Source organism: Homo sapiens, chromosome 9 (assembly GCF_000001405.40).
Source record: "Homo sapiens chromosome 9, GRCh38.p14 Primary Assembly".
Taxonomy (NCBI): Eukaryota; Metazoa; Chordata; class Mammalia; order Primates; family Hominidae; genus Homo; species Homo sapiens.
This window is the reverse complement of record NC_000009.12, coordinates 20575779-20601249: the sequence shown is the minus strand read 5'-3', so window position 1 is coordinate 20601249 and position 25471 is coordinate 20575779. Positions and strand designations below refer to the sequence as shown.

General features: G+C 39.0%; 1 protein-coding gene across 2 annotated transcripts in view, besides 1 other annotated feature; it reads left to right on the top strand.

Moving 5' to 3' along the window:
- MLLT3 (MLLT3 super elongation complex subunit) overlaps nt 1-25471 on the top strand; it is a 280831-nt gene that overhangs the window by 21250 nt on the left and 234110 nt on the right. The window lies entirely within an intron of this gene.
- Nucleotides 15845-15894: an enhancer, noted in NCBI's record as "active region_28228". NCBI's record gives its function as "activates an Ori minimal core promoter by ATAC-STARR-seq in GM12878 lymphoblastoid cells {active_cell/tissue: GM12878}" and the evidence as "EXISTENCE:reporter gene assay evidence [ECO:0000049][PMID:35858748]".

The window sequence follows — 25471 nt, the reverse complement described above, 5'->3', positions numbered from 1 at the left end:
CCTTAATTATTTGTTCCTCTCACCTGGAGAATATTCTGAACTAAAGGTGGGCAGTGTATCATGGTATGTCTCTACTTAAGTGGGTAGCCCAAAGTGAAGTTTGTTTCCAGAATGTCATTCTGACGTTTTGACGTTGTCAAATGCTTCATTGTTTTGCCTCCAAACCCCAGCCCCTAGAGCAATCTGAGTCTGGGGGCAACGGTGCAGAGAAAAAGCAAACATGTCTGTGATTGACTACACTTTTTTTTTATTTAAAGAAACCCTAGAAATGCCTTAGGGACCCCTGGGGCTTTGTCACAATTTAAAGCCATTTTACCATTGAAGGTGCCGTTGAATTTTGACTGTATTAATTTGCTTTGGTTTAAATTTTTTCCCATTGGATTCTGATTCTCCCATAATAAGTAGAGTGATCTATGTCATGTATACCTTACTTTCTAGGGGAAGGCTCTATAGTTATGGCTGGATGAAAATAGTTCACTGGGGTAGGATAAAAGAAGTGGAAATGGGTGGAGATAATTGGGTGTTCAGGCAGTCAGTTCTGGCTTTGAAAGAAGAGTAAGGTTTAAGATGGTGTGTGAAGGATCAGAAGCTTCTGAGTAAGGATTTAAAATGGGAATCTCCCAAAAGCCTAAAATCTAGTTGGATTTCAAGGTGGGTTCCTTAATCGGGAAATAGGTGACATCACTCTATAGAGAAGAAACATTTGGATTGCTGTTATTCCTGAGGAGTGTGAACACTCAGATGGGAAAAGAAGGATACATCCTTACAGAATATTTTCATGGGTTGAGAATGTACACCAGTTGGGGTTGGTTAAGGAAGGGGTTGTATTTCTAAAGTATTGATTACTTATTCAGCCAACATTGAGCACCATCTATGTGCCAGGCACTGCAGTAAACATGGAGGATAGCAACAAAACAGACGTGGTTCTTACCTTCTGGAAATGCTTAGTCTGGCATCAGGCATGTTTTCCATACACACAAACACAATAACAGCACAACAAGATGAGTGCTTTTATGAAGCTATGAAAAATGAAGCTGTGGAAACAGAGTTCTGAGTGTTTAGTACTGCCCAGGTATCAGAATTTGAACTAAGTGTTTTTTTTTTGTTTTTTGTTTTTTTTTTTTGGACAACATTGCAAGTGAAATGTTTGATAAGAAAGAGAATCAGTGTGGATTTAAAAAAATTATCCTGAATCTGTCAAAGATGGATTTTCATCTCTTTGAGGGTTCTCTTTATAAGGCTGTATAAGTGCAGTGTTCTTGCAATTTCTGAACTCACTGGGTTAGCATCGTACAATATAATATTATATAGGTGAAAAAAGAAGAAAGCTAAGCAATTTATAGTTACTGAAGGTTTAATTTTACACCTTGTTATTTTACAGACGTGGCATCCAAGACTGAAGATTAACTAACTTGCCCATGGTCCATGTGGCCTATGAATATGGTGACTCTATGTCCTGTTTTGCTGAGGACAGTCCAAGTATATACCTATTGTCCTGTGTTGGTGTCAGAACTATTGCTCTTTGGATGATAGATTATATAGTCACCCTTTTTTAGAGTGGCATAACTAAGATTTAAACTCAGGCCTTTTGACTCCAAGTCCTAAGCTCATCACTGTTTTACTCTGTTTATACCATGCTTCTAGGTCATATCTCTACTTTTAGGTTGGTCTAATGAGAAGGATTCTGAGGCCTAAGTCTGGCTTAGTACAATATTCAGTTCTTGGTTATGTTTACCATGGACAATGGGGAGAAACATGAGAGGTTTCATGCTACCTTTTTTTTTTTTTTTTAAACATCTGGTTACTAATTGTTTCAGAATGTGATTTAGTTTTCCTTCAGAAATTCTGAAGGCATTTGAGGAACTTTATGTCTTAGGATTGTATTTATAAATATTAGTCATCATTGCATGATACTCAAAGAAAATTCTCTTTTTTTTTTTTTTTTGGAGACAGAGTCTTACTCTGTCGCCCAGGCTGACGTGCAGTGGCACGATCTTGGCTCACTGCAACCTCCATCTCCCTGGTTCAAGTGATTCTCCTGTCTCAGCTTCCTGAGTAGCTGGGACTGCAGGCGCGTGCCACCATGCCCAGCTAATTTTTGTATTTTTAGTAGAGACAGGGTTTCACCATGTTGGCTAGCATGGTCTCGATCTCTTGACCTCGTGATCTGCCCGCCTTGGCCTCCCAAAGTACTGGGATTACAGGCGTGAGCCACCGCGCCTGGCCTACTCAAAGAAAATTCTAATGATTTGAGTCCTCTGGATACGTGGAAATTTGGCACATCTCTTAATCATTGAATATTGTGCTTTTCCCTTTAATTTTTGTTTCCCTTTCTTAACCTAATCAGAAGCCTAAAGCAGCAGAATAGGGTTTGAGGAAAGTAACTCTAATTTGGAAAAGAAAATTGGAAACTTATGTTGTGATTTGCTTAAATTGATTAGCATTGCCACCAGGTTTTCTGGACAGCTTTTGAGTGAATCACCTTTATTTGGTTTCACTTAAATAGCTCAGCACTTCATAAAGGTAGTTTTAGAAGTGTACTGTCTATCAGGTAAATTAGCTAAAACTTAGATGGATTCAGTTTACTGATCATCACTTCTGGTAATTAGATAACTTTATTTTGTTTTGTGTCATTTGTCTTATATACTGTCTGAGCAGTGCTTCACTGAAGGCTGTAGTGTCCTCACCTAAAGAATGACTAATGGCAACTGTTAGAATGATAAAAGCAAAACTAAAGCCATTTTTGAGAACTTACAGGTTGGATGGTTATTGGGGTGGGATGGAAATGCCTTATGTTGCACATCCTACTTCTCTTCCAAATTTACACATCTAGTTAGACATATGGCTTCTCTGCCCTCAGAGACTCATATGTGGGGCGAAGGGGAGATAGATTTGTAAGTGGATAAATTTCAGTGTAATTTAAATAAGTTATAGTTTGGTAGGAACGGAGTTTTTTGGGAACATAAAGTGGTAAGTAGAGATTGAAGATGAGCACAGTAATGTTTCCATTTATATAGCAGATGTTTGAACCTGAATCTTTCATATTTTATATCATTTTTGGTTTCTACAGCATTTTATGTTGGTTTGCTTCTCTTTTCAGAGACTGTTTATGACCCAACTTGAACAATGTAATGAAATTCTTCTTTAGCTCAAGCTGTTATGAATCCAAAAATAGATCTGGGCTAAGATTAGACTTTGTGGCACAAATTGTGGTTTGTTAGGTTGTGGCTGTCTTTCTTCCAACAAATAAATGTAAATTAACAATTATTTAGAAGTAAAGCAAATGTTGCTGAGACAGAAACAGGACCTGGTTGATTTTAAATGGTGCTTTGGAACACTAAGCAGATATCTAAGTTTAAAGAACTATTTGGAAAAAAATTGTTTTAGTTAAAAAATATTAGTAAGCTTCTATAGAATGGCAGAATTGGTGACTGCAGTTCTATAGGAACCTTACTTATTGTAATCTCTTACTCCTTTTATTTTCCATTTCTTTTTGTTTCTCTTCTGAAAATTCAAAAGCATGAAATAGGCTTCACAGAAAGAAAAAACAAAGCTAGTAATTACAAGACGCTAAAACTTTCTTATCTTATTGGTCAAGTGCAATACATGACACCACTCTGCAGTAATACTGGTGTTCAGAAGAGTTATGGAAGAATCTAGTAATAAACATAGTAAGAAGAAGGAGGGATGAACCTCATTTGTATGGTTGAAAAGTAGATGGTCTTCTGAGGCTCTTAACAGTATATGAAGGTAAATTTGTTGTAAAGGAAATCTTATTCAGATTTTTAATATGATGTCTATACAAATTACTTGTGGGACAAGGATGATCTATTTCTGCAGTAAGACCTCTAGCTCCTTATGGACAGGATTTTTTTTTTTTTTAAGTCACTGTGTTACTCAGACCTTTGCACATAAGTGGTATTAAATAACAACTTTATAGTAAGACACCTTTGTAAGGCCCTAGATAAATAAAAGTACTTCAGTGGCCTACTGTGTGCCAGGCTGAGTACTGGGTACTCTCCAATAATTACCTTATTAGTCTAATGATCCCTATGAATTGAGGTACTACCTGTACTATCCCCATAATGGATGAATTTATCAAGGTTATAGCATACAAGATTAGTATAAAAAGATAGTATTTCTACGTACTTGCAATGAACAATCTGAAAATGAAATTAAGGAAACAATTTTATTTATAATAGCATCAAAAAGAGTAAAATACTTAGGAACACATTTAACAAAACAGATGTGAAATTTGTGCTGTGAAACTACAAAACATTGTTGAAAGAAATAGAGGACTATTTAAATAAATGAAAAAATATTCCATGTTCATGGATTGGGAGACTTAATATTACGATGGCAATACTCCCCCAAATTGCTTCAGGTTACATACAGTCCCTATCAGTCAGAACTCCAACTGGCTTCTTTGTAAATTGACAAGCTGATTTAAAATTAATGTGTAATTGCAAGGGACCCATAATAATATTTTGTGAGTGAGACTACATTTTTAATGTTTTCAAGCAGCTTATTATTTTATTTTATTTATTTATTTTTTGAGATGGAGTCTTGCTTTGTGGCCCAGCCCAGGCTGGAGTGCAGTGGCACATCTCAGCTCATTGCAACCTCCAGCTCCTGGGCTCAAGCGATTCTCATGCCTCAGCCTCTCAAGTAACTGGGACTACAGGCATGCACCACCATGCCCAGCTAATTTTTTGTATTTTTAGTAGAGACAAGGTCTCACCATGTTGGCCAGGCTGGTCTTGAACTCCTGACCTCAGGTGATCCGCCTGCCTTGGCCTCCCAAAGTGCTGGGATTATAGGCGTGTGCCACCATGCCTGGCCAGAGCTTATTATTTTAAATGAAAACTGCAAATCAGTTTTTAAAAATCAGTCATGAAAATAGGGACGTCTTAAATCAGGGTACTCCTATACATTTAATTAAATGCCATAGTTTTCCTGGTAATTCAGTGTTTTGGGGTAGGTTTAAAGCTTTATAAATTTAATTCCGCAAGCTTTTATTCAGCATTTATTTTTTGTAGTCAAGAAAACATGCTATAAGAAAGTTCAATGGAGGCAATTCCTGATACAGAATTATCTGGTGATAAAAGCTTATAAAATAGTTTTATAAGTTTTTCAAGTTTTCCCTTAAGCCTGCCCATAATTTAAGCTTGTGACTTTTTATATTGTCTTTCATGGCTAGGTTTGTTTATACCCTGCAGCAGTACTGTCTAAAACAATAGCCACTAGACATATGTGGCTTTTAAAATTTAAATTATTTAAAATAAAACATTTAATTCCTCAGTCACTTGCCACATTTGAGGACTTAACAGTCATGGGTAGCTAGTGGCTGCCGTATTGGACAGAGCTAGGTAGAGAAATGGTAACAGATTTCCCGGACTTCTTTTTACAGTGGGATTCAGATAGTATATGTGCTTTTGTGAGGGATAAAAAGTAGAGGAAAAGAATCTGATAAGACTTTTTATATAAAATCGTGTCTTTCTTTTTTTGTGGTTACTGCTACTAGCATTATGACACTTTGTATCTTTCAAACGTCATGTGCTACAATAATCTTTTCTCTAATGGTCTTAGCATCTACTGCTGATCTTTTTTTGATGAGCTTGAATTAACTATTTTATTGGGGTTGCAAATTGGTGATTTTCCTTCTTTGATAACGCTTATGTTTCAAATGATAGATACAGGATCTATTCTATTTTTCCTGTTTATGGTTTTGACAAAATTTTATATTGTGACAAATGTTTCCTGTGTCTGATTTTATGGATAACTTAGTGAAGTATGTGGTAATATAAAATTATAATATAAATTATAAAGTAATATAACCTTATTTTTCCAGTAATTTTTATTTTATTTTATTGTTTTTTGAGATAGGGTCTTGCTCTGTCACTCAGGCTGGAGTGCAGTGGTATGTATGAAGACGATTCACTGCTGCCTCAGTCTCCTGGGATCAAGCGATCCTCCTGTCTCAGCCTCTTGTGTAGCTGGATCCACAGGCACACACCTCCATGCCTGGCTAATTTTTTCTTTTCTTCTTCTTTTTGTAGAGATGGAGATCTCACTTTGTTGCCTAGGCTGGTCTTGAACTCCTTGGCTCAAATAGTCCTCCCGAATTGGCCTCTCAAAGTGCTGGGATGACAGTTGTGAGCCACGGCACCCTGCAACCCCCATGCCCAGTAATTTTTTTTTTAAGTGAAAGTAAGTTTATTAGAGAAGTAAAGAAACAAAAGAATGGCTACTCCATAGGCAGAGCAGCAGTATGAGCTGCTGTTTGGACATTTTTATGGTTATTTCTTGATTATATGCTAAACAAGGGGTGGATTATTCATGAGTTTTATGGGAAGGGGCTGGGCAATTCCTGGAACTGAGGGTTCCTCTCCTTTTTGGACCATACAGGGGAACTTCCTGACATTGCTGTGGCATTTGTAAACTATCTTGGCATTGGTGGGAGTGTCTTTTACCATGCTAATGCGTTATAATTAGCATATAGTGAGCAGTGAGGATGACCAAAGGTCACTTTCATCGCCTTCTTGGTTTTGGTGGGTTTTGGCGGGTTTTGGCTGACTTCTTTACCTCAGTCTGTTTTGTAAGCAGGGTCTTTATGACCTATGTCTTGTGCCAACCTTTTGTCTTATCCTGTGACTAAGACTGCCTTAATCTTCTGGGAATGTAGCCCAGTAATTCTCAGCCTTATTTTACCCAGCCCCTATTCAACATGGACTTGCTCTGGTTCAAACACCTCTGACATATTGCCCCCCTCCCTTTTATAAGAGAACCCTTAATCCTAAGGGTTGAAGAGGGATGAAGATCCATCTTCTGTAACTTCTTCAGGCTGAATAGAGGTGATAATATTCCTGCCTATTAGGGTCTCTTGTATTCAGGGTAGAGAGGAGCTCAGTCAGAAAGCATTAGTATGTCGAGGAGCACTCATAACTCTTGAGTTCCAACGAAAGGTGATATCTAGAAGATTAATAAATGTTTAATTTAAGAGAACATTGGTTGGGCACGGTGTCTTATACCTGTAATCCCAGCACTTTGGGAGGCCGAGGTAGGCGGATCATTTGAGGTCAGGAGTTCGAGACCAGCTTGACCAATATGGTGAAACTCTGTCTCTACTAAAATACAAAAAATTAGCCAGGTGTGGTGGTGGGTGTCTGTAATCCCAGCTAATTGGGAGGCTGAGGCAGGAGAATCGCCTGAACCCAGGAGACGGATGTTGCAGTGAGCCGAGATCACACCACTGCACTCCAGCCTGGGCAACAGAGCAAGACTCCCTCTCAGAAAAAAAAAAAAAAATGAGAACATTGAGTAAGCTTATCCTGCATTCCTACACATGGAGTACAACAACAATGTATTCTACAAGAGTAAAGCTAAATAAGCAAAGTTATCCTAAGTAAAATAATAAGAAGGCTTTCTATGAATTATGCAATTGTTGGAACCAAGCTGATAGTCTGAAGTTGCTGGCTGATTCCAGTACGTGCCCAGAATTAAAATACTGCCTCAGAGTTTTACATTACCCATCCCTATTGTTTCTTCTGAGTCACAGCCAGAGATCACTGGTTGGTTCACAGGAATAAGCAGAGTTAGTTTAAATTGCAGGAAAAAAACTGAGAAACAACGAATGAGACTAGAATCTAATAACAGATGTACCATAGTTGTTGAAACATAATTTTTCTCTCTCCAGTGTCCTATTTTTACTAAAGACAAATCATGGTAAAACTGATCTGCTTTATTATACTTGGCGTGATTATTTGTATAAAGTGCAGCAAGAAAAATTATTTTTCACATAGGCTTTTAAAACTGGCTTTGATGGTTTCATAAGGAATCTCAGATAAGACTTTCTTGATGCTAAGCCCAACAACGGGTTTCTGCCCTCAAATATCTATAAGTTTGTGTACATTCCTCTCCTCTCGAGGTCCCAGGATAACTTGGGGTTTCTGGGCCTGTCAGAAAGTGAACACACCCATTAATTTTTAAATGTTGAGATCTGAGGAGAGAGGAGGTGGTTCCAAGGGAAGAAACGGATTTGAGTCAGACGTTTATGGCCATTTAAATTTACAATATTGAAGCCCTTGTTTTTTTATTTTAAATATGCTTGTGGCTTCTGAAGAGTCATGCTATCTCAGAAGAAATTTCTGCTATAGTAAATTTAGCTACAGTACAGAAAAATTTGAGCTTTTATTAAGTTCTGGGCATGGTCATCAAAAATGCCATAATAATACTTAACAGCTTTGGTAGCAAGTGTTGGAATGTCACTATATAAACTCCACCTGCCCTTGCCTTCTCTTTCATTGCTTCTTTAGTTTTATCAGTGGGGATGGATGAGAAAGGAACTTGTCTGAAATTTTGTTGCTCATAGGAAGTGGCTTAAAATTCCCAGGATAGTTTTGGAACTGATTCTTGATCTTGGAATGTTGGAATAGACCTCCTGGTAATCGTATGGCTGAAGTGCACCTGCATTCTAGGAGGGATCTGGTTAGACCTGAGTGTGTTTTTCTCTTTGCTTGTGAGTATTTATTTAGGACTTTTTCAAAGTTTTTGAAGTAATGATTACTTTAAGTTATAAAAATTATAGCCAGTTATAATGTTATGTGCCAAATTATGTGCCCCCTACCCATGCACCACAAATTCGTATGTTGAAGTTCTAAGAATGACTATTTGGAGGTAGAATCCTTAAAGAAGTAATTAAGGTAAAATGAGGTCATTGGGGTAGGACCTAATCTAATATGACTTGTGTCCTTATAAGAAGAGAAGATTAGGACAGACACACCAAGAAAAGACCATGTGAAGGCACAGAGAAAGGATAGCCATCTGTAAGCCAAGGAGAAGCCTCAGAAGAAATCAGCCCTGCTGATATCTTCATCTTGGACTTAGAGCCTCCAGAGCTGTAAATAAATTCCTGTTGCTTAAGCCACCCCATTTGGGTTGTTTAAACCCACTTTGTTATAGCAGCTCTAGTGAAGGAGTAAGCATAGGTAAGCAGGTTATTCTGGTTTATATCTAAAACCACATGTAAGTTGGGGTAGGGGAGATGATAGGGTTAAGTAAGGATGGATTGTGAGGCTAAAAGTCTAATTTTTCATCTTCCATTTTAATTTTTTGGGATATGTGATTGGAATAGGTAGAATGTTTACTCATAGGCTTGCCTTATCTTTTTCTGATCTCTTAATCACTTGGGAATGAAAATATGATAATATAGGTTGGCGGCTCACTAATTCTTATTCATTCTATTCTTAATTTATTTTTATTATTAAAAAAATGTGTTGCCTAGGCTGGACTTGAACTCCTGGGCTCAAGCGATCTTCCCACCTCAGCCTCCTGAGTGACTAGCTACAAGTGTGCCACCGTACCTGGCTTCATTCTGTTTAACATTTCTTAAAAACACTCTTCCTTTCTTTTCCATTTGGGAATTAATTTTCTGTTTTTAGTTTCATGTTCCTTAGAAACCATCTTTCACATGGTTGTCACAAAAACTTTTTTTTGATACACATTCACTTATCTGCTTAAACACCTTTCTCTTAAAGTATTCTTTCTGTGAAATATTTCATATTCAAGATGCTCCCTAAATGGTGAGTTCACAGTTTGCATGTAAGTTTGGTAATTTTCAGGTGATTCTTTGTTCCCTAAACATTTCGCGATATTCTATAACTCTGCCTAAGTTGTTCCCCTCAGTCTGGAATTCCTTTGGTGTTCACTACTCATAATCAGTTCCTTTTTTATAGGCTTCTAGAATTCACAGATGGTTTTTAACATATCTGTTTATAAGTTCATTTTGTGGGCCAGGCTGAGTCGTTCTGTGGCTGCATTTGCTGAATACACCTCTGAGAATGCCCCCTACAGTCGAGTCATATTTTGTTAAAAATGCTTCCTCCACACTATCTGAGACCTATTGACTGGGAACCTTTTCAGAGTGAAATCTGGGAATGTGAATTTTTAAATGCACCCCCAGTGCCCAAATTGCAGCACCTCTGCTGTACAGTAGTGGCAGGAACTTACTCTTCTTCCTAAGTGTCAGGCCCCCAGTAAACTAGAAAAAAACATACTAAATAAATTGGAGAGAACAATAAAACTAGATTCAAAAAATAGGTCCAATAAATTCAGAATGCCACTAGGTATATACTAAAATTGATTTGGGATTGTGGGTTAATGTGACTAAATGTCCCTTGTGTTCTTTTTAAAAACTGTCAAGGCTAGGTACAGTGGGTCACAACTTTAATCCCAGCACTTTGGGAGGTTGACGTGGAAGGATTGCCTGAGGCCAGTAGTTCAAGACCAGACTAGGCAATGTAGGAAGACCCCATCTCTACAGTCAAATAATAAAAAAAAAAAAATTAGCTAAGTATGGTGATGCATGTCCATCATCCATCCCAACTACTCAGGAGGCTGAGGTCAGAGGATTGCTTGAGCCCAGGAATTCGAGGCTGCAGTGCATGATGATCAGGCCACTGCACTCAAGCCTGGATAACAGAGCAAGACAATGCCACTAAGGAAAAAAAAGAAGACGGCAATTGTATTAGTTCATTTTCACACTGCTATGAAGAACTGCCTGAGACTGGGTAATTTATAAAGAAAAGAGGTTTAATTGACTCAGAGCTCCACATGGCTGGAGAGGCCTCAGGAAACTTACAATCATGGCAGAAGGGGAAGCAGGCATGTCTTACATGGTGGCAGGCAGGTGAGAGAGTGACAGAGAGAGAGACAGACAGACAATGAACACGAGAGAATGAACAAGTGAAGCGCCACACTTTAAAATCATAAATTCCCGTGAGAACTCACTATCATGAGAACAGCGTGGGGGAAACTGCCCCCATGGTCTAATCACCTCCGACTGGGGCCCTGCCTCCGCATGTGGAGATTCATAGGGATTACAATTCAAGATGACATAGGGGACACATGCAACCCATATCAGCAGTAAGTATAGGGACTCTGTCTGGGTAGCACTGATGTAAAGGGGACTCATGAACTCATGCTTTCTAGGGAGGCACAACTGCCATTTTCATCTACCCTGACTTCTAGGATGTTAAGAATCTTGGAGAGAGTTGACGCCCATTGAAATGTGTGTAATTACAGCTCTGGAAGCCTACTAAGTTAGAGTGGTTGGTGAAAGGAAAGGTAGAAAAAGATTTTCCAACTTCTAACAGCTGACCTAGATGACTTTGTAAATGGGCTGTTCATTATCCACAGAATGGCTTCTCCTGGCGGGTAACTCAGCTCCACAGAGGGCTGCTTACAAATCACCAGTTAGGTCGGGCTGTAATCCCAGCACTTTGGGAGGCCGAGGCAGGTGGATCACGAGGTCAGGAGTTCGAGGCCAGCCTGGCCAAGATGGTGAAACCCCATCTCTACTAAAAATACAAAAATTAGCTGGGCACAGTGGCGGGCACCTGTAATCCCAGCTACTTGGGAGGCTGAGGCAGAAGAATCACTGGAACTCAGGAGGCAGAGGTTGCAGTGAGCCGAGATTGCACCACTGTGCTCCAGCCTGGGTGACAGAGCGAGACTCCACCTCAAAAAAAAAAAAAAATCACCGATTAAAACCATGGGCTGGGATACTATTGCCATCATAGAAGAAACTTTCAAGAAATACAAAGTTTTTGAATACCTCAATTCTCAAATTCTTTTTTTATAAAAAAATTTTCTTTTTTTTTTTATTATTATACTTTAAGTTTTAGGGTACATGTGCACATTGTGCAGGTTAGTTACATACGTATACATGTGCCATGCTGGTGTGCTGCACCCACTAACTCGTCATCTAGCATTAGGTATATCTCCCAATGCTATCCCTCCCCCCTCCCCCCACCCCACAACAGTCCCCAGAGTGTGATGTTCCCCTTCCTGTGTCCATGTGATCTCATTGTTCAATTCCCACCTATGAGTGAGAATATGTGGCGTTTGGTTTTTTGTTCTTGCGATAGTTTACTGAGAATGATGGTTTCCAATTTCCTCCATGTCCCTACAAAGGACATGAACTCATCCTTTTTATGGCTGCATAGTATTCCATGGTGTATATGTGCCACATTTTCTTAATCCAGTCTATCATTGTTGGACATTTGGGTTGGTTCCAAGTCTTTGCTATTGTGAATAGTGCCGCAATAAACATACGTGTGCATGCGTCTTTATAGCAGCATGATTTATAGTCCTTTGGGTATATACCCAGTAATGGGATGGCTGGGTCAAATGGTATTTCTAGTTCTAGATCCCTGAGGAATCGCCACACTGTCTTCCACAATGGTTGAACTAGTTTACAGTCCCACCAACAGTGTAAAAGTGTTCCTATTTCTCCACATGCTCTTCAGCACCTGTTGTTTCCTGACTTTTTAATGATTGCCATTCTAACTGGTGTGAGATGGTATCTCATTGTGGTTTTGATTTGCATTTCTCTGATGGCCAGTGATGGTGAGCATTTTTTCATGTGTTTGTTAGGAAAAGAGGAAGTCAAATTGTCCCTGTTTGCAGATGACATGATTGTATATCTAGAAAACCCCATTGTCTCAGCCCAAAATCTCCTTAAGCTGATAAGCAACTTCAGCAAAGTCTCAGGATACAAAATCAATGTGCAAAAATCACAGGCATTCCTGTACACCAACAACAGACAAACAGAGAGGCAAATCATGAGTGAACTCCCATTCACAATTGCTTCAAAGAGAATAAAATACCTAGGAATCCAACTTACAAGGGATGTGAAGGACCTCTTCAAGGAGAACTACAAACCGCTGCTCAAGGAAATAAAAGGGGTTACAAACAAATCGAAGAACGTTCCATGCTCATGGGTAGGAAGAATCAATATCGTGAAAATGGCCATACTGCCCAAGGTAATTTACAGATTCAATGCCATCCCCATCAAGCTACCAATGCCTTTCTTCACAGAATTGGAAAAAACTACTTTAAAGTTCATATGGAACCAAAAAAGAGCCCGCATCGCCAAGTCAATCCTAAGCCAAAAGAACAAAGCTGGAGGCATCACACTACCTGACTTCAAACTATACTACAAGGCTACAGTCACCAAAACAGCATGGTACTGGTACCAAAACAGAGATATAGATCAATGGAACAGAACAGAGCCCTCAGAAATAACGCCGCATATCTACAACTATCTCATCTTTGACAAACTTGAGAAAAACAAGCAATGGGGAAAGGATTCCCTATTTAATAAATGGTGCTGGGAAAACTGGCTAGCCATATGTAGAAAGCTGAAACTGGATCCCTTCCTTACACCTTATACAAAAATCAATTCAAGATGGATTAAAGACTTAAATGTTAGACCTAAAACCATAAAAACCCTAGAAGAAAACCTAGGCATTACCATTCAGGACATAGGCATGGGCAAGGACTTCATGTCTAAAACACCAAAAGCAATGTCAACAAAAGCCAAAATTGACAAATGGGATCTAAGTAAACTAAAGAGCTTCTGCACAGCAAAAGAAACTACCATCAGAGTGAACAGGCAACCTACAAAATGGGAGAAAATTTTCTCAACCTACTCATCTGACAAAGGGCTAATATCCAGAATCTACAATGAACTCAAACAAATTTACAAGAAAAAAACAAACAACCCCATCAACAAGTGGGCAAAGGACATGAACAGACACTTCTCAAAAGAAGACATTTATGCAGCCAAAAAGTTTTTCAATAAAGGATTTCTCTGTATTTGAAAGCCACATTATAGATTTTTTTCTTTTAATGGTTAAAATGAGTATTTTTTTTTCTTTTATCTTAGAATTTAGGCATTATTGTGAAGTGGAAAGAGTAGGGGGCCCCTCTCTTGTCTTGGAGGTGGGAGTCCTTGGTTTGAGTTTTGGCTCTCTTATGCACTGAAGGCCATGCAGTGAAAAAGTTTCCGTCACTTCCAAGAGTGTCTGCTTTCTTATCTGTAAAATGAGGAGAGACAGATGGGCTTCTCCTACCTAATTCATAGAATAGTGATAATAGGAGTGAATAAAGAAAAAGATTATATGATATGTCATTTTTATCTGCTTTGTGTCTTATTGGTTTCTTTGAAAGTTCCCTTTGCAGATATGAACCTATTGGGAAGTTGTTTTTTTTTTTTTTTTGGCCTAGCTATCTGCTATCTGTTGGAAATATGCAAAAATTAAAATATCAAACTTTTGTTTAAAAAAATCTAAGGGAAATTGGTATATTAACATTATTTTAAGCTGCAGAATCAAGTCTTTTATTTTGTACTTGGTTTTATCAAATAATTGGCTGGCTTCTCCTGACTCCTACCTAGAAAGTTTGAGGAAAATTAATTCATCACATCTTCTACTTAGGAAAGAATCATGCTTTTGTTTTAAAAACAGATTGAGGTTTCATTTCATTTTTAAAAAAAACAAAATAAAGGATGTAGCAGATAGATTGAAAATGGTATTATACTAGGAATAGTTCTTTCTTACTCTTATTTTTGCTCTTTTTTCTCCTCCCAACTTGCTCCCCTCTGCTGGCTCCTTAGAGGAATGGGAAACCATTTCCCCACTTCCCTAACCAGTGAGTCTCATTATTTCTCTACTTTTTTTCCCTTCATTCCTCTCCTCCCTTGGAAAGAGGTAAAAAAAAAAAACTCCTTGATGTTTATTAGGGGCTTTAAATTGGAGTTTGACTTGTGACCTGCCATAGTTTGAATAATTTGCCTCCATGGTATTTTGCCTATCTCAGTTTCCCAGCTGCATACCTAACTTCTGCCTCTCTTTTTCAGCAGGTTAGTTGAACTTATTTTTAAGGAGAACCAGTCCACTGCCACCCCTAAGCCCCCCAGTGATTTTCTAGGGGTTATGTACGAAGTCAGTGATATCACTTTTGGGATTTGGGCAAACGTCAATTTTCAATCTCCTTTTTTTTTTTTCTTTCCAGTCACAGAATGACTTTGATTTCCTGATTATGTCAGTACCCATCCATACCCATCCATATTACTTTTTTTTTTCTCTGAGATGGGGTCTTGCTCTGTCACCCAGGCTGGAATACAGTGCCACGATCATGGTTCACTGCAGCCTTGACCATCTGGGCTCAAACAGTTCTCCCACATCAGCTACCAGAGTAGCTGGGACTACAGGCACACACCACCACACCTGGCTAATTTAAAACATTTTTTTTGTAGAGATGAAGCCTCGCTATGTTGCCCGGCTGGTCGCAAACTCCTGAGTGCAAGTGATACTCCCATCTTGGCTTCCCGAAGTGCTAGGATTACAGATGTGAGTGATTGTTCCTGGCCTATATTTATTCTCTTTAAGAGGCTTTCTGGTTGAAAAGTCAGCAGCCCGTGAGGAAAAGATAATGGTTGCAGGTCTCTAACCAATCCATCCAGTAAGAGTCAGGCTGACCATTGGTGATTCTTATTCACTGTTTCTCCCTCAATTATAGCAGTCTGTTTAGTGTTTGGTATTCTTGACTGTATTAGAAAGGTCTTAATATATTGTTACTGGTTGGAGCCCAATCTTCTGCATTTCTAATAAGCAGTCCTGGTGATCATGCTCCAAGATGACCATGAGACCACACTGGGAAATAGAACAGTGAAAAGAGTATTTTGCGACACCTTGCCAAAGAAAATGTACAGATGGCAAATAAGTGATGAAAAGATGCTCAATATCACGTCATTAGAGAATTGCAAATTAACAAAAACAATGATACCACTACATACCATTAGAATGGTGAAGATTTAGAATCAAGTGCTGGGAAGGATGTGGATCCACAGGGACTCACATTCACTGCTGGTGGGAGTGCACAGTGACACAGCCACTTTTGAAGATGGTTTCACGGTTCTTTACAAAACTAAACACACTATTACTGTACGTTGTGGACTGACTGTTTTTGTGCCCCTACCAAATTCATACGTTGAAACCCTACCCTTCTACGACTGTATTTGTAGATAGAGCCTTTGTGGAGGTTAAAGGGTGGGACCCTGATCTGATGGAATTAGTGTCTTTATAAGAAGGGACAGGATGTTGTGTACCATAAATATGTACAGTTTTTGTCAGTTGAAAAATAAGAGACTGAAAAGAGGCCTGCCTGCCCCCCGGTTGTTTGAGGACACGGTGAGAAGTTGGCCATCTACAAGTCAGAAAGAGAGTCCTCACCGGAAACAGAATCAGTTGGCCCCTTTATTTTGGACTTTCCAGCCTCCAAAACTGTGAGAAACAAATTACTAAGCCACCAAGTTTATGGTATTTTGTTAAGGCAACCTGAACAGATTAATGCATCATGTGATTCAGAAATCATGCTCCAAAGTATTTACTCAAATGAGTTGAAAACTTATGTCCACACAGAAACCTGCCCATGAATGTTTATAACAGCTTTATTTATAACTGCCCAAAATTTGAAGCAATCAAGATGTCCTTCAATAGGTAAATGGAGGAGCTGGTGCATCCACACAATGGAATACTGTTTAGCAATGAAAAGAAATGAGCTATCAAACTACGAAAAGACATGGAAGAACCTTAAATGCTGATGCAGTTTGGCTGTGCCCCCACCCAAATCTCAACTTGAATTGTATCTCCCAGAGTTCCCACGTGTTTTGGGAGGGACCTAGGGGGAGATAATTGAATCTTGGGGCCTGGTCTTTCTTGTGCTATTCTTGTGATAGTGAATAAGTCTCGTGAGATCTGATGGGTTTATCAGAGGTTTCCACTTTTGCTTCTTCCTCATTTATCTCTTGCTGCTGCCATGTATGAAGTGCCTTTCACCTCCTGCCATGATACTGAGGCCTCCCAGCCACGTGGAACTGTAAGTCCAATTAAACCTCTTTTTTCTTCCCAGCAGCGTGAAATGGGTATGTCTTTATCAACAGTGTGAAAATGGACTAATACAGTAAATTGGTACCAGTAGAGTGGGGCTTTGCTGAAAAGATACCCAGAAATGTGGAAGTGATTTTGGAACAGGCAGAGGTTGGAACAGTTTGGAGAGCTCAGAAGAAGATAGGAAAATGTGGGTAAGTTTGGAACTTCCTAGAGACTTGTTGAATGGCTTTGACGAAAATGCTGATAGCGATATGAACAATAAAGTCTAGGCTGAGGTGGTCTCAGATGGAGATGAGGAACTTGTTGGGAACAGGAGCAAAGGTGACTCTTGTTACGTTTTAGCAGAGAGACTGGTGGCGTTTTGCCCTGCCTTAGAGATTTGTGGAACCTTGAACTTGAGAGAGATGATTTAGGATATCTGGCAGAAAAAATTTCTAAGCAGCAAAGTATTCAAGAGATGAGTTGGGTGCTGTTAAAAGCATTTAGTTTTAAAAGGGAAGCAGAGCATAGAAGTTTCAAAAATTTGCAGCCTGATAATGTGATAGAAAAGAAAACCCCATTTTCTGGGGAGAAATTCAAGCCCTCTACAGAAATTTGCATAAGTAGCAAGGAGCCTAATGTTAATCCCCAAGACCATGGGGAAAATGTCTTCAGGCCATGTTAGAGACCTTCATGGCAGCGCCTTCCATCACATGCCCAGAGTCCCAGGAAGAAAAAGTGGTTTTGTGGGCTGGGCCCAGGGTCCCCATGCTGTGTGCAGCATAGGGACTTGGTGTCCTGTGTCCCAGCTGCTCCAGCCATGGCTGAAAGGGAACAACGTACATCTTGGTGTCTGGCTTCAGAGGGTGGAAGCCCCAAGACTTGGCAGCTTCCATGTGATGTTGAGCCTGTGGGTGCAACAGAAGTCAAGGATTGAGGTTTGGGAACCTCTGCCTAGATTGCAGAAGATGTATGGAAATGCCAGATGCCCAGGGAAAAATTTGCTGCAGGGGTGGGACCCTCATGGAGAACCTCTGCTAAGGGCAGTGTGGAAGAGAAATGTGGGGTCGGAGCCCCCACACAGAGTCCCTACTGGGGCACTGCATAGTGGAACTGTGAGAAGAAGGCTACTGTCCTCCAGACCCCAGAATGGTAGATCCACCGACTGCTTGCACAGTGCTCCTGGAAAAGCCACAGACACTTAACACTAGCCCATGAAAGCAGCAGAGAGGGAGGCTGTACCCTGCAAAGCCACAGGGGCAGAGTTGTCCAAGACCACGAACCCACCTCTTGGTATCAGCACGATCTCTATGTGAGACCTGGAGTCAAAGGAGATCATTTTGGAGCTTTAAAATTTGAATGCATGGGCCCTGTAACTCCTTTGTTTGGCCAGTTTCTCCCATTTGGAATGGTTGTATTTACCCAATGTCTGTACTCCCATTGTATCTAGGAAGTGACTAGCTTGCTTTTGATTTTACAGGCTTATAGGTAGAAGGGACTTGCCTTTTCTCACATGAGACTTTGGACTGTGGACTTTTGGGTTAGTGCTGAAATGAGTTAAGACTTTGGGGGAGTATTGGGAAGGCATGGTTGGTTTTAAAATGTGAGAACATGAGATTTTGAGGGGCCAGGGGTGGAATGATATAGTTTGACTGTGCCCCCACCCAAATCTCAATTTGAATTGTATTTCCCAGAATTTCCATGTGTTGTAGGAGGGACCCAGGGGGAAGTAATTGAATCATGGAGGCCGGTCTTTCCTGTGTTATTCTCACGATAGTATGTCTCACAAGATCTGATGGGTTTATCAGGGGTTTCTGCTTTTGCTTCTTCCTCATTTTTCTCTTGCTGCTGCCATGTAAGAAGTGTGTTTCACCTCCTATCATGATTCTGAGGCCTCCGCAGCCATATGGAACTGTAAGTCCAATTAAACCTCTTTTTCTTCCCAGCAGCATGAAATGGGTATGTCTTTATCAGCAGGGTGAAACAGGACTGATACAAGTGCATATTGCCAATTGAAAGAAGCCAATCTGAAAAGCCTACATATTATATGACTTCAATTTTATAACATTCTGAAAAAGGTAAAACTATGAAAACAATAAAAAGTTCAGTGGTTGCTGGGGGTTTGGTGGGGAGGAAGGAAGGGACGAATAGGTAGAACATGGTGGGATTTTTAGGGCAGTGAAACTACTTTTTTTGATACTGTTATGAGTGGTTACATGACGTTATACATTTGTCAAAACCCATAGAACTTCCGTACAACAGAGAGAGAAAACCCTAATGTAAGGGATGGACTTTAGTTAATAGTGTGTCAATGTTGGTTTATCAGTTGTAGCAAATGTACCACCCCAATGCAAGATGTTAATAATAGGGGAAAATGAGAGCCAGGTAGAGTGGGGAGAGGGAATATGTAAGAACTCTCTGTACTTTCTGCTTAATTTTTCTGAAACCTAAAACTGCTTTAAAAAGTACAGCTTATTGGTTTTTTAAAAGAGTATTTTGGATTCACCTTAGTTTTGTAAGGAGAATAATTTAATATAAAAAATTAAAAATATTTTTCATTGCGGCTGGATTGAGCATCAGATATAGAACTTTGTTCTGTGGTTTCAAAAATAGGAGAGAAAAGGTTAGGCTCTTTTAAACCTGAGAGAGGGTTGCTCTCCTTAAATAGTGATATAGAGCCTTAAATGCATTTCTGTTGTTGTTGTTGATCACTTAGAGAAATAGCCAGAGGTAATGGTATTCCTCTTACCAAATTGAAGGATTAGCTCTGTAGAAATGTTGAATTTTAAATGTTTTCCTTGTACCTGATAGAATTGCATAGTGTTCCTGCATCTTATATGAGAGGTAGTTTAAGGTGCTTCATCAACTGTGGATGGAATCCTCAAAGTCCAGTCTCTGATTGGCTGCCAGGGGCCTAAACAGGTTGAATATTTTAATCAACTATACAGGAGTCAACCATCCCAAGAGTTAAAGAATTGCATAGATCCTTTAGTTTAAGGGAAAAAAAATTCCAAGTGAATTTCTGGTGTGAATTAGGGAAGACTTATTTACGTTGCCCTTTAAGTCATTAAAGTGGCCTCTTAGAACTCCTGATTTAATGAAAAGATAAAAATGTTTTGTAATTAGCAGATCAAAGTACTGCTGTGGATGGTGTTTACATTGTCAGTATGTAAATTAAATTTCTAAAGGGAAAGAAAGAATTTGTTTAACACCTCTTTAATTTTGTTTATGTAATTTCTTGCTTAAAAATCTCTTCCCACTCCCACTTACCATAAATGATCCTAAAATAAACACTAACTTACCACTCTCACCTGTGTATCAAAGAACTTGAGAAACAGCAATGTCTGAATTGTTGAACTTTGCTATATTTAAGACAGATTGAGTTTATCCTCCAAAAAGAAACATGGTCTTGAAAGGTTCGTTCAGCAGTCCTAAACTATAAATGAATCCACTGATAAATGGAATTTAAAGAAGCACCAAAATAAACGGGTGTGTTCATAGTCATTTTGTATTGGAATTTGGCAATATCCTTTTGTACAAATTACCAAATGCAGTGTAGCTTGGCATGCATTGCTTGTTTGGAATATAATGTAGGTTTAAAAACAAAATATGTTGACAGAGGCTTTTCTGTTCAGGTGGTTAGGCAGGTTAGCCCTGTGTAAATTGTTGTAGTTCTGGTTCAGTTCCTCTGAACTGGAGGGAGGGGTGCTCTCCTTACACATTGCTGTGTATGATTAGAATGCTACGTCTAATACAGTAAATATTTTATACAAAAATGAATTTTGACTGCTTTATTTCAAGGCTTTACCTCTAGCCATGTTTGTGAAGGAGTGTGTGAAGAAAACATTGATAAGCCATGCCTATGTGAAAGGAAAACTATATTATATTTCAAGTCATTCCATCCCTAGTCACTTTTTGATTAGCAGCCTTGGTCTTCTTCAGGACTAACCATTATAGGCAGAGTGTGCACAGGTTCCAGATAAAACTGCTCAAAGCAAATGGATTAAAAAAACTGTCCAAGAGAGTCTAAGAACTTGTTTTATGAAGAGTCTTGGCTCTCCAATGGTGAGTCCCAGTCTGAATTTATTCAAGACTGAAAGAAGTTGGAGCATGTCTGTGCAAGGGTATTTTTCAAGAGATTTTCTCTAAGAAATCGAGCTTAAAAAAAAAAAAGTCAAGTTAACTAACGTAACATGCAAAGTGTTAGATGGGACTCTTATCACTGTCTAGTTACAGCAATGGAAATTATTATTAATTTCCATAAATGGAGAGAAGGGATTTAACCTTTCTGTTTTGTTTTAAGAGTTAATGCTAATTAAATGCTCCCAAGGAAGAAAGAGTAAAGTAGTGGATAGCATTTGCATTTATGACCATTAGCATGGCTGGGGTTGTGCCTGTGTGAATGACTAAGATGAGTAGACTTTTTGTACTGTGAGACTGTGGTAGCTGAGCCAGAGCTCTTGGGTCTTGCTAAGGTGGTAAGAAGCTATGGCTTTCTTTATTTAATGGGCCTGTTTAGTGTAACTGGGATAGGACCTCACTGCTCCCTATTTACCTCACACGAGTCTGGTGAGATTTAATTAGTCTTACTTACAAAAATCTGCCTGGGGTCTACTTTAGGGTCTGAATTCACCCAGTGTCTTCTCTCCCCCTAGAGAAAACAAAAGGTTTCTCCCTCTTTGCTACCTAGGCATCCCATACTGAGCTCTGTGGATCACCAGGCTGGAGGCCTCACCTTTATGCTGTTACCATGTCCTGTCTAGCCTCTCATATGTGTCCCTAACTTGATTTGGACTTAGTAGTGAGTAAAAAGGGTGGGGTTAGAGCAAAGAGCTCTTTTACCCTAACCACAAGTCCACATTTCCTCATACCATACTTTACTTTCTCATAGGAAATTAATTTTGTGTGCCTCCATAATGGCTCTCATCAACTTCTTGTTTTTTAAAAGTTTATATTTTTTTATTCATGCGTCAGAATTGTGAAGAAATTATTTGGATACTTAGAAATCTTATTTGGAGAGATGTTTTTAAAAAAGTCTTCTCATGGGCTCTTTGTAGAAGGACATTTCCTCTTGTTTCTCGATGATACCAAGTTGTTTTGTTCTTTTGTATATATATAATTTTCATTTCTTCTCATTTCTTAATTTTTTTTTCTTTTTAATAGAGATGGAATCTTACTCTGTTGCCCAGGCTGGAATGTAGTGGCGTACTACTCAAAGCTCATTGCAGCCTTTGACTCCTGTGCTCAAGTGATTTTCCCATTGAGCCTCCAGAGTAGCTGGGACCACAAGCATACGCCCAGCTAATTTTAAATTTTAATTTTTAATTTGTTTAGAGACGTAGTCTCACTGTGTTGCCCAGGCTGGTCTCAAACTCCTGGCCTCAAGCAATCCTCCTGCACTTCAGCCTGGGATTACAGGAGCTGCGATTACAGGCACGAGCTATCATACCTGGCTTGATTTATCCTGTTCTTAACCCTTCTTTCAAAAATTGTTAAATGTTTTACATTCCTTAAGGTAAGCAACGCTGTACAATAGAAATATAATGCAAGTCACAGTTGCAATTTTAGGTTTTCTAGTAGCTTTACTCGAAAAAGTAAAAAGAAACAAGTAAACTTAATTTTAACAATATAATTTATTTAACTGAATATATCCAAAATATCACTTAACATATCTATAAATAATTAATAAAGTATTTCACTTTTTTTGGTGAAGCCTTTGGAATCTGGTATGTATTTAGATTTCATAAAATATCTACTTGGAAAATGTTAGCGTCATATACTTGAATTGTTCCCAATATAATGTTCAAGGGTTTTCTAGTAATTGATCATATTTTAAAATTTTTAATTAATTAAAATAAAATATAATTTAAAATGCAGGTCCTCAGTTGCACTAGCCACATTTGACGTGCTCAGTAGTTGCGTATGCCTGGTGGTTGCTGTATTAGATATCATAGTGTTCTTGACCTGTCATTCTTTATTTGATATGTTTCCCATCTTCTCTTCTTTTTCTTTTTCTTTTTTTTTAGAGACGTAGTTTCTGTGTTGACCAGGCTGGTCTTGAACTCTTGGCTTTAAGCAGTCCTCCCACCTCTGCCTCCCAAAGTCTTGGAATTACAAGTGTGAGCCACCACGTTCAGCCCCATTTTCAGATAATGAAACTGAGCCCTGGATTAGTAATCAATCCCTGTTTTTCATTATGCTTCCATAATACTTAGAATAGATGTTAGTTCAGAGTGATTCAAAATTTTAATACATCTTATGTGCCAGATATGACTAGGGAAGGGAGGACTTACATGGACTTCTTTTGAGTTTATCTAGCAGTTCTTACATTCTTATTTAGTCAAGGTCAGCAGAAGAGCTGACTGTAGTACAGATCCTCCAAATTGTTGTCTATCTCTTCTATCATGCCAGCCACTAATAATTCCCTTTGTGGTGGAGTATTTCCTTTTGCAAATGATAGGAACTTAAAGGAATCCTTTTCTGTTTAGTAGTATGTAGGTCTGGATTCAGTTGTTGATAGCAGAGACCACTTTAGCCAGTTTTAGCAGGGAGAGATTTGATACTGGGAACTACAGAGGATACTGGAGGATCAGGTTTTAGGTTAAATTTCTAGGAATGATTCCCAAATAATATAGAACTGGCCAGCCAGGAAAACTGCTATGTCTGCTGTAATCAGGAAGCTGAACACATGAGCAGTCTTCCATTATCACAGCAGCAGACTTCAAGACCCTAAAGCCTAGCTGGCAAAATGGTGTGTGTGTTCACTCTTCTCCCTTGAAGCTGAAAACTAAACACTAGGATTTATTCAGAAGCACAGCCCCACCCCACAGTGCTTATTTCTACCTTTCGAATCTGTCATGGCTGTGTCTGGCAGAAGTCTGTCTTCTATTGTGCAGTAATGGGGCTAGAATGGATTTGAATGGACAAGTCTGTGATAATTGCCCAAGTGGTTGGTATATTGGTATGAAAGTGAGAGATGGTCAAGGTGAATCTTTGCTGAACCTGGGGCTCTTTGTCTTGCTGGGAGAATTTCACAGAGATGTTGAAAAGGTACATGGGTTAAGAGAACAGGCGCTGTGAAATGAAAGTTGTGTTTTCTTCTCTGGAGGGCATTTCTTCAGATTCATATCATCTGAAAAGATAAAAACAAATGGTTATACTCCTGGATCAAACTTTATTATGTTGTGTTTTGAAAGATCTCAGAGCCTAACTCCACGTGAATATATCAGGTTAGTGTCTAGCCTACTTCATGATTTTTTTGTGCATCTGAACATTCAGGGCCTTAAAAATAGGAGGGAAGCAATACTAAATTGAAATGTTGTCCTACTATTGCTTTAACTGGAGTTATTAAATATATTAAATTTGTGTGGTGATAAATCACCACACAGAACAGTGTATAATTTTAGAAGAGACAGGTAGAAAGAGTTATATGTTTTGGGATTTTTAGAGGTCAAGATAATAGACATTGGACAATGTTGCAGGATTACTCCTGGTTTGAAAATAAAGTACAGGTATACTTCATTGTATGGTGCTTTGCAGATATAGTGTGATTTGGTTTTTGAGATGAGATCTCACTATATTGCCCAGACTGGTCCCAAACTCGTGGGCTCAGGTGATTCTCATGACTTAGCTTCCTGACTAGCTGGGACTACAGGCATGTGCCACCACATCTGGCTGGATATTGTGTTTTCGTAAGTTGAAAGTTTGTGCCACAACCCTTCATTGAGCAAATCTATTTGCTCCATTTCTCCAACAGCATGTGTTCACTTTATGTCTCTGTGTCACCTTTTGGTAATGCTTGCAGTATATCAGAATTTTTCATTATTATCGTATCTGTTATGGTGATCAGTGATCGTTGATGTTACTATTGTAATTGTTTTGTGTTGCCATGAAGCGTGCCCATATAAGATGGCGAACTAGATATATGCTGTGTATGTTCTGACTGCTCCACTGCTCCAGTCATTGTCTCATCTCTCCTCCTCTCCTTGGACCTCCCTATTTCCTGGCACAACAATATTGAAATTAAGCCAATTACACATCTTTCATTTGAAATCAAAAGCTAGAATTATTAAGCTTAGTGAGAAGACCATGTCAAAAGCCAAGATGGCCAAAACCTAGATCTCTTGTGCCAAACACTTAGCCAAGTTAAGAATGCACAGGAAAAGTTCTTGAAGGAAATTAAAAGAGCTACTCCAATGAACACATGAGTGATAAGATAGCAAATAGCCTTATTGCTGATATGGAGAAAGTTTTAGTGGTCTGGATAGAAGATCAAACCAGCCACAGCATTCTCTTAAGCCAAAGCCTAATCCAGAGCAAGGCCTTAACTGTCTTCAACTCTGAATGCTGAGAGAGGTGAGGCAACTGCAGAAGAATAGTTTGGAGGTTGTTTTATGGGGTTTAAGGAAAGAAACCATCTTCATAACATAAAAGTGCAAGGTGAAGCAGCAAGTGCTGATGTAGAAGCTACAGCAAATTATCCAGAAGATCTAGCTAAGATCATTGAGGAAGGTGGCTACACTAAACAACAGATTTTCAATGTAGGTGAAACGGCCTTCGATTGGAAAAAGATGTTATCTAGGACTTTCATAGCTAGAGAGAAGTCAGTGCTTGACTTGGAAGCTTGAAAGGACAGACTTACTTTCTTGTTAAGGGCTAATGCAGCTGCTGACTTTTAGTTGAAGCCAGTGCTCGTTTACATTCTGAAAATCCTAGTGTCCTTAAGACTTATGCTAAATCTACTCTGCCTGTGCTCT